At 37.5% G+C, this 9,713-nt stretch overlaps 1 non-coding gene across 1 annotated transcript; it reads right to left on the reverse strand.

Annotated features, from left to right (window-relative positions):
* Positions 1 to 9,273: 9,273 nt before the first annotated feature.
* On the reverse strand, positions 9,274 to 9,411 carry LOC124900506 (small nucleolar RNA SNORA70). The gene has a single exon (XR_007068484.1). It is a non-coding gene; the product is annotated as a small nucleolar RNA SNORA70 (small nucleolar RNA).
* Between the last annotated feature and the right edge of the window lie 302 nt (positions 9,412 to 9,713).

The raw sequence follows: 9,713 nt of genomic DNA on the forward strand, positions 1-9,713 counted from the left end.
CATATTTTACTGTTGGGAATGCAAATTAGTCATTATTTTCTGAGGAGCAAATGGCTAGATTGACAAAAGTCCAAAATTGACCCAGAATAGCACCCTATGAAAATGTATCTCTGGGAAACAGTTCTAAATATGGGAAGGAGGGGGATTTTATGCACAAAAATTGTTATCAAAAGGTATGTTCTATATAGGCAGCCCTGTAAATATTCATTCTACAAATACTTGAGTACCTACTATATGGAAGGCTATTAGGCACTATTGAACAAAACAGATTTAGCTGGTTTAGCTATTTATAATAGCGGAAATATTGGAAACAGCCTACTGTGCAGTATTCTCGCAGCAGTTAAGTAAACTATGATTTATCCGTCTAATGGAACACTGTGAATCATAGTTTGCTTTACCATTCCCCACCAACATTTAGGGGTGTTTCCTTAAAATAGAGTGGATTATAAGGCAGCCATTTAAAAGTGAGTTACAAAGATAGTATAATAACTTGGATAAATGCTTACAGTATAGTATTACTAAATGAACTAGATACACAATTGTATATATCATATGATTACAACCATAAGGATGTAGCAGGCCCAGGTAAAGAGACCAGGGAGAAAGTGAGCAAAGTGTTAGCAGTGGCTGTATTTCTGTGATGAGACTAAGCGTGACTTTTTTTCTGCTTTTCTTTATTTCCCAAATTCTCTTTAATGAGGCCTTGTTATTTGTGTAATTTTTCCCCCCTTGATGCTTTAGTAACACACTTACAAAAAGTTTGCATGAAAGTGAAGACTGCTCAGTGGCTATTTCGTGAACTGAGTGGGAATTTTGTCAGAGAACTTTATCCCTCTCTTTTGACTGATTGGCTATTTCAGCTGTGGTGGAAGTATGCAATAGTGGATAGAAATCTGCTGGACACTCACCCTTAATATAGTCTGTCTATACATACATAGCAGTGTCGATGCAATACACTGTGCCTCACAAATAGCAATGTAGATGATAAGATGCTTTTTGTTGTTTTTTTTGAAAACAGTATGTCTTTAGTATGTTATTTGAAGACTCGGGATTATGGCTAGTTGTGTGCCAACTTTCCATCCTTCAGACCTATAAAATCTGAATCAGTTTGGTTTTTTACTGCATTGTGGTGAAATTAAACAATTCATATAAATTTTTATTGTGGTTGATAGTCAAGGCTCTAGAAAGCTCTGAGATTTAATCTTGAGTTTTCCTTGCCACTTCAACCCAATTTTAAATTTTTTTTTCTTTTTCTTTTGAGACAGGGTCTCACTCTGTCACCCAGGCTGGAGTGCAGTTCTATGATCTTGGCTCACTTCAGTCTCCGCCTCTAGAGTTCAAGCGATTCTCATGCCTCCACCTCCTGAGTAGCTGGGAGTATAGGTGTTCACCACTACACCCAGCTAAATTTTTTTTTCTGTATTTTTAGTAAAGATGGGGTTTTGCTCTGTTGGCCAGGCTGATCTCAAGCTCCTGGCCTCAAGTGATCCGCCCGCCTCTGCCTCCCAAAGTGCTGGGATTACAGGCGTGAACCACTGTGCCTGGCCTCAATTTAAAAATTCTTAATCCACTCTTAACTTCCATCTAGTGGAACTCCAATTTTATCCTTTCTTTTCTCATTGTCTTCCCTACATTTCTGTTAGCATGAAATTTCTAATTGTACAGACTTTGCAGTGTGCAGAGTCAAATCTCTCATATCCTGTAACTTTGCTGCATGCTCCTTAGTTTTTTCTTTATCTACACTTATATCTGGTCATTTTGATACATTTTTTTCTTTTTTGGTCTTCTCAGCTCTTAGAAACAGACATGTTTGTAGAAAAGAACTCTTACCATTTGTTGTGTCTGGGACTTGTATGGAGGGTTTTTGTTTTGGTCTGGGTTGGTTTGCTTTTTCTATTTAAAATTTAGATTGTGTGTACACCCACACAGAAACTTCACCCAGCTACCAGGCTGTTCCTTTGTAGAGTGGTGATCAAACAAAAATATGCATCTAGTGATTCTTTCATTTGATTTGAAAACTGATTTCAGAAACACATGATTTTCTTCTTTTACCTGGCAGATTATTACTGAGCAAGCTGAAGAATGGAGGACTCAACCTACTTATAAAGTACCAAACTGTTAAGGTCATAGAAAATTATTTCTGGAAGGTACATCAGAAGTTGTTCTAGCCCAACTCTCTTATTTTACAGATGGAAAACCTGGGGCCCAAAAGAGAGCCTGGCTTAGCCTAAGCTGTACAATGACTAAGTGGTAGAAAATGAACTAGAACATTTCTGAATTCCCAGTCCAGCATTCTTTCCACTAAGCTGATGGCTGTCTTCCAGGTGCAGGAGTGCAGGTTGGTACTTATTACAGGACTCTGCTGGCTGCAGTGGCTCTTCCTGGTGCTGTGGAAAGTACCCTCTTCTTTGCTCAGTCTGATTCCATTTATGGGAAGCAGTGATGGAGTTTGTACATAAGCTTTACAGTAAAGTCTGCTGCTGTCCCAAGTTTCTTAACCTTTTAAAAGTCATCTTCCTTCCATTTCTGATTTCCTAGTACATCTATTATTTATTTCAATGTAAACAAATTCCAAATAATGGAAATTTGTCTCTACTACAGCTTATTCAAGTTTGCACTTTGGGTATATATGCTAATGTTTACAGACTGGTGAGGTCAGGAAAATTGAACTGCTGTTATTTCAAAAGTGAAAGCTACTCTGGGACTTCTAGGTCAGGGTGGCAGAGTGAATACTCCTGAATCTTATTCCTCTCATTCAAAAACAGAGAAATTATGCATAAATATTTTTAAAGTTTTTTAAAAATACATAGTTATTCTTAAAAATAAGAAAGGAAAGTGTCTTTTGGCCAGTAATAGAAAAGCCACTGTGATGGTAGGGGATCGGGGGGTGCTATGAATGGATATGGGCAATTGGGACCAGGTTTTTTTGCAATGATCCTGTCTGTGCATGAACCCAGGACCCAAGAGCACAATACAAATAGGAGCTGGGTTAATCTAACTTATCCCAGCAGTGTCACAGCCAGGAATATGCTGCTTGTTCCTGAGCGGAAGTAAAGAATAATTGGCAGTCACAAGCAAGCGCAGGAAACCACTCAAGATAGAACTTGGACCCAAAATACTTTTGGGCTAAAAATTCAGAACTGGGCTACCTAGGAGGAAAGAAGGCCCAGAGCTACCAACTTAAGGTCTGGTTCAAGGTTGGCACATTATCAGATTTAAGCTGAGGCAACTTAAAACTGCCCTGTAGATACAGGTACTTACATTTTTTAGTTATCATAAAAATTGAGCCCCCAAAACATTACAAAGAACCCAGTAAAACCTAAGATCATGAAAAAGCAGTCAAGAGAACCCAACAAATTAGAGAATTTATACCTGAGAAAAGAAGAACAATCTGATGAGAGTTTAAAAATAAGTTAAAATTATCAATATATGTTCAGAAGAAATTACATTTTACAGAATGAAGAATAGATAATGAAACAAGAAGAGAAAGCTGTGAGAAAGAAGCATTTAGACATCTTGAAGTGAAAAATATTATATTGAAATGTAAAAATACAATATTGAAGTAAAAGAACAGTTAGACTGCACATACTTTCTATAGCTTAAGAGAAAATTAGAGAATTAGGAAAAAGAACTGAGAAAATCTTTCAGAATGCAGTTTAGAGAGAGTTAGAAGAAAATGAAAGAGAAAGATGGACATGAAAGATGACCTGAGGAGCTCCAACATACATCTGCTAGGAGTTACAAAGGAGAAAAAAGAATGAATAAAAAAGTGGCAATAATAATAACAATAACTGCAGCTAAGAATTTTTTCAGAAATGAAGCTGAGTCTTCAAAATAGAAAATGCTGCCACATGTAACACAGGATAGATAAATCCACAACTACATACATGATAATAAAATCATAGGAAATTAATGATAAAGAGAAAATCTGAAATTCTGAATACAAGTATAACAAAAAATTCTGAATAATGGAATGGTAGTCAAACTGGCAGTAGGCTTTGGCAACAGTAGATACCAGAAAACTGACTAGTATCTTCAAAGTGCTGTAGACAAATAACTGTGAGCTTACAGTTTCATACAGTGGTTTATATACAGAGTGGGAGCAAAATAAACGCATCTTCAGATACACAAAGCTAAGTTTTCAACTCACAAACTCTTGGTGACAAGAGAACTAAAGGATGTTCTTCAGCAAAGACAAAAATAAATGCAGAAAGAAGTGGAATACAAAAGCAAAGAGTGTTAAAATATGAGATAAAGCTAATATGCTTCAAAAGCTAGAACTAAATCTTAGCAATAATAATATGGTATTAAAGATGTAAATGTGTGCTGAAGTCCTTGTTTTGAGTAGAAAAGATACAGATTAATGTTATAGACTTTTAAAAAATATATATTTAAATAAGTATGTTAAATATAAGGGTATCCAGTACAGTAATAGAAATATAGAAATAGAAGGTACAAGTCCTTAATCAGTAGGGGAAAGAGAAAAGATAGGTAATATTTTAAATGCTATCACTCCATTCAATAGAGGGCAGGAAAGAAGATAAAAAGAAGCAAAGGAAAAACATGGAAATAGGAAATACAAAATAAAACATGTAAGTAATCATAATATAAATTAATCTACAAAGCCAGAGAGATAGATTATCCTTCCATATGCTGTTTTAAAAGTAACACTGAAAGATAAAAAAATACAAGTATAGGACAGGAAAAATTTTCTCTTGATTACCACCTAGTGAAAGGTGGCAGCATGAACATCATTTGAAACATGAACATGTTTTTGCCTAAAAACATCAAATGACAGAAATATATGTCTCGCTTATAAATAGGTAACAATCCACGAAGATGATATAAAATGACTCTAGATACTGAAAATATACTCTCAAAATATATAAAACAAAACCGACAGAATTATCAAGAAATAGCCTATCCACAGTCAGTGTTGCAGATTTTAACACACCTCTCTTAGAAACCAGTATATCAAACAGTCAAAAATACTCAAGAACATAAAGGATTTGAACAACATAATTAACCAGCTTAATCTAACAGATATATAGCACACATAGGGCATGTGTATTGTGACCATGCTAAATGAAAAATCAACATTCACTTATTCATTCAACAAATACGTATTTGTCCAATATTTGCCAGATATTGTTCGAGGCTCTTGGAATCCTTTAGTCAACAGTATAGACAATAATCCTGACCTGTTGAAGTGTACATTCTAGCAGGGAGTAAGACGAAAAGGCAGACAATAAACAACAAACATAATAAAGTATATAATATGTTAGACACTGATGCAGTTTGGAAAAAAAACTAAAAAGGAGAATTGAATAAAGAGGATTGGATGGAGAAAGTACAGGTTGTAATACAAACAGTGGGTCTGAGTATATCTTATTGACAGGTTGAGATTTAAAGAAGCAGAAGAAGTTAGCCACAAAGATATCTGAAGGAAGAACATTTCTTCAGATGTAGTGTAGTGAGGTCCTCTAGCAAGAGGTTACAGCTAGAGCAAAGGCCATATGGTGGGAAAGTACTGACACATGAAATAAATGACAGGTGAGAGTAGCAGGAAAGAGAATCAGATCATCTGAATGTAGAGCGTCATAGGCCTTTGTCATTTACTATGCACAAAATGAGGTGCCATTGCAGGATTTTGAGTAGAGGAGTGATGTGATCTGACTTAAGTTTTTTTTTTTTTTTTTTTTGAGATGGAGTCTTGCTCTGTTGCCCAGGATGGAGTGCATTGGCACCATCTCAGCTCACTGCAAGCTCCACCTCCCAGGTTCAAGCGATTCTCCTGCCTCAGCCTCCTGAGTAGCTAGGATTACAGGTGCAGGCCACCACGCCCAGCTAATTTTTGTATTTTTAGTAGAGACGGGGTTTCACCATGTTTGTCAGGCTGGTCTCAAACTCCTGACCTTGTGATCTGCCTGCCTCGGCCTCCCAAAGTGCTGGGGTTACAGATGTGAGCTACCATGCCCATCCGATCTGACTTAAGTTTTAAAAGAATCATTCAAGCTGCTGTGTTGAGATTAGACTTCAGACAAAGGTAGCAGCTGAGCAGCTATTTCAGTAATCCAGGCAAGAAATGATGATAGGGGCTTGGATCACATGGTAGCAATAGAGTTGTTGAAAGTTGGTAAGATTCTGGATATATTTGAAGGTAGAGCCAACATTTCCTGGAAGGGCTTGTGGGGTGTGACAGAAAGAGGGAGGAATTGTAGATGATTCCAAGGTTTTTGACCTAAGCAACTGATAGGATAGAGTTTCCATCAACTGACATGGGGGAGGCTACAAATGAAGCAGGTTGGGGAAGAAAACTAGGAAGCCAATCTTATTTATTTATTTATTTAATTTTTTTTTCCATAGATTTTGGGGGAACAGGTAATCTGGTTATATGAATAAGTTCTTTACTGTGATTTCTGAGATTTTGGTGCTCCCATCATCCAAGCAGTGTACACTGTACCCAATGTGTAGTCTTTTATCCCTTACCACCCTCTCATACTTTCCCCTGAGTCCCCAAAGTCCACTGTGTCATTCTTACACCTTTTCATCCTGATAGCTTAGCTCCTTCTTATGAGTGAGAACATACAATGTTTGGTTTTCAGTTCCTGAGTTACTTCACTTAGAATAATGGTCTCCAATTCCATCCAAGTCACTGCAAATGCCATTATTTCATTCCTTTTTATGGCTGAGTAGTATTCCATGGTGTATATATATATACCACAATTTCTTTATCCACTCATTGACTGATGGGCATTTGGGCTTGTTCCAAATTTTTGCAATTGCAGATTGTGCTGCTGTAAACATGCACGTGGAAGTATTTTTTTCATATAATGACTTCTTAGGAATCCAATTTTTTTTTTTTTATTTTTTGGACAGGGTCTCGCTCTCTCACCCAGGTTGGAGTGCAGTGACTCGATCTTGGCTCACTGCAACCTCTGCCTCCTGGGTTCAAAGTGATTCTCCTGCCTCTGCCTCCTGAGTAACTGGGATTACAGGTGTCTGCCACCACACCCAGCTAATTTTTGTATTTTTAGTAGAGTTGGGGTTTCACCGTGTTACCCAGGCTGGTCTAGAACTCTCCTGACCTCAAGTGATCTGCCCACCTTGGCTTCCCAAAGTGCTGGGATTACAGGTGTGAGCCACCACACGTGGCCAGAATCCAGTTTTAGATATGTTGGTTTGAGATAACTGTTAGATTTCCAACTGGAAATTTTGGCAGTTTGGTTAAACAGATCTGCCAAAATGCTGTAGAGTATTTAGATGATATTTAGAGCTATAAGACTGTATCAGATAACAGAAAGAAAATACAGAAAAGGGAAGAGGGCCCAAGAAGTATCTTGTGTCCTTTCCAGTGTGAGTGAAAAAAAAAAAATGTATCAAGAAAGAGGTAGTTGTCAACAGTGTTAAATGTTGCTGTTAGGGTCATATAAGATGAAGACTAAGAACTGACCATTGATTTTGATAACATTAAGACCTTGATAAGAGTGGTTTTGTTAGAATAGTGGGACAGAAAGCCTGACTGAAGTAATTTTAAGCCACATTGAGAAGAGAGGAGTTGAAAACATTGAGAAAAGCTATTTTTTTTTTTTTTTTTAGAGATAAGTTTTTCAGGAATGGGGGTTAGCAAGGAAATGGAGTGGCAGCTTTTGGGGAGAGTCAAGAAAAGGATGTTTTTTGTTTTGAGATGGAGTCTTGCTCTGTTGCCCAGGCTGGAGTGGTGCAGTGGTGCAATCTTGGCTTACTGCAGCCTCCGCCTCCCAGGTTCAAGTGATTCTCCTGCCTCAGCCTCCCGAGTAGCTGGGATTACAGGTGCCCGCCACCATACCTGGCTAATATTTTGTAGTTTTAGTAGAGACAGGCTTCCGCCATGTTGACCAGGCTGGTCTCAAACTCCTGGCCTCAGGTGATCCGCCTCGGCCTCCAAGAGTGCTGGCATCACAGGCATGAGCTACCACACCCAGCCAGAAAAGGGTGTTTTTTAAGCTACATGTTTGCTTGTGAGAATGATACCAATGGAGAACAACAACAACAAAAAGATGATGTGGGAGGAAGAATGGAGAACTGCTGTAATGAGGTCCTTGAGTAGGGTCTAGAGTACAAGTTGAAGGATTTGACTTCAAATAGAAGCACGTTAGGTTCATCAATGGTAACAAGTGAGAAGATGGTAAAGGGTGGTTAAATGTGGTAATAGTTTGTGGAAGTTCTTTTCTGATTGCTTCAATTTTCTTAGTGAAGTAGAAAGCAAGACCAGCAGCCAAGAAAGAACACGAGGAAGGAAGTGTTGGGTGTTTGAGTTAAAAGGGAAAGGGGTAAAGTATTTATCTAGGAAAGTAAATGGACTAGGGAAGTATCTTTGTGTGCATTAGAGTCCACTAAAGGTTCAAAGTAATGAATTTAAATTGAGACCAATGAGCATGGTTGTATGTTTTTTTCCAGCCACATTTAGTTGCACAGGTGCAGGTGTGGAGTAGGCAGAAAATTGGATTTAAACAAGGTTGTAGTTTTGCCAAGCACTATAAAGGGAGAGAGGGGAGAGTGATGATAATAATGATAAATCATGGAATGTAATCTCGATAAAGAGGAGAGTGAAGGGACATCAAGAGCATGAGAGTCAGTGGAGATTCCATGAGGTTGAACAATGCACAGTAGTTCAGGATCACCCTAGTAGAAAGAATAAGCTGGAAAAATAGGATGTGGAGATACAGAATTGAGATTATGGAGGGGTTATAGTTTTTTTGTAATGGCAACAAAAAGTTAGCTGAAGAAGAAAAGAATACTTCTGATAAACTTCCTTGTAGATACTGCATGGGTAAGGAGGTAATTATAATGAGAATTACAAAATATTTAGAGCTGAACGACAATGAAATTACTCCACATTAGATCTTGTAAAGTAGCTAAAGAGAGAAAACTATAACCTTAAATACATGTTTAAGGTTAAAAAATTAGAAAAAGTGAAAATAAATGAGTTAATCTTTCAACTCAAGAAGTTGAAAACAGAGTAAGCCCAAAGTAAGTAGAAGGAATGAAATAAAATAAAGATAAAAGCAGAAATTAATGAACAGAAAACAGAATAGCAGTAGAAATAGTGTTAATACCAGGAGCTGATTCTTTGAAAAGATAGAAAATTCAATAAGCCTTTTTATTTTCCAACGTCCACCTTGACTGCAGTGTTCTAGGACTTCTCAAAGGCATCTTACATGCTAGTCTGGGGCCTGGGATGCAAACAAAAACAGATCAGAGGCAGTTATTTTGGCAACAATAGGGAGAGGGAAGAGTCTTCAAGGTCCCTTAAAGCAACATGTACAACAAATGAGCTGCATGCATAACCAGGGCATCTACTTTTTCCAGCTGCGCACACTGAGCCCCATCAGGGAGGGTAAAATGCAGTAAACCTTTGAAAAGCTGATCTAGAGAAAAACTATAGGTGTAAACAAATAGTATTAGGAAGAGAAATAGGGACAAAATTAAGATAAACATATTTAAAATATAAGATTATTTTGAGCAACTTTATGACAATAAGCTTGAAAACTTAGTTTAAGTGGACACTTCTGGGAAAATATAAAATATCACAATGACTTAGGAAGAAATGGCAAAACAAAGAAGTCCCATAACCTTTAAAGAAATTTAATCATACTTAACCACCACCTCCCCAACCTCCTGCCAAAAACACCAGGCCTAGAGTAATTTGGGGGATGAATTCTATCAAACTG

This window comes from Homo sapiens, chromosome Y (assembly GCF_000001405.40).
Source record: "Homo sapiens chromosome Y, GRCh38.p14 Primary Assembly".
Taxonomy (NCBI): Eukaryota; Metazoa; Chordata; class Mammalia; order Primates; family Hominidae; genus Homo; species Homo sapiens.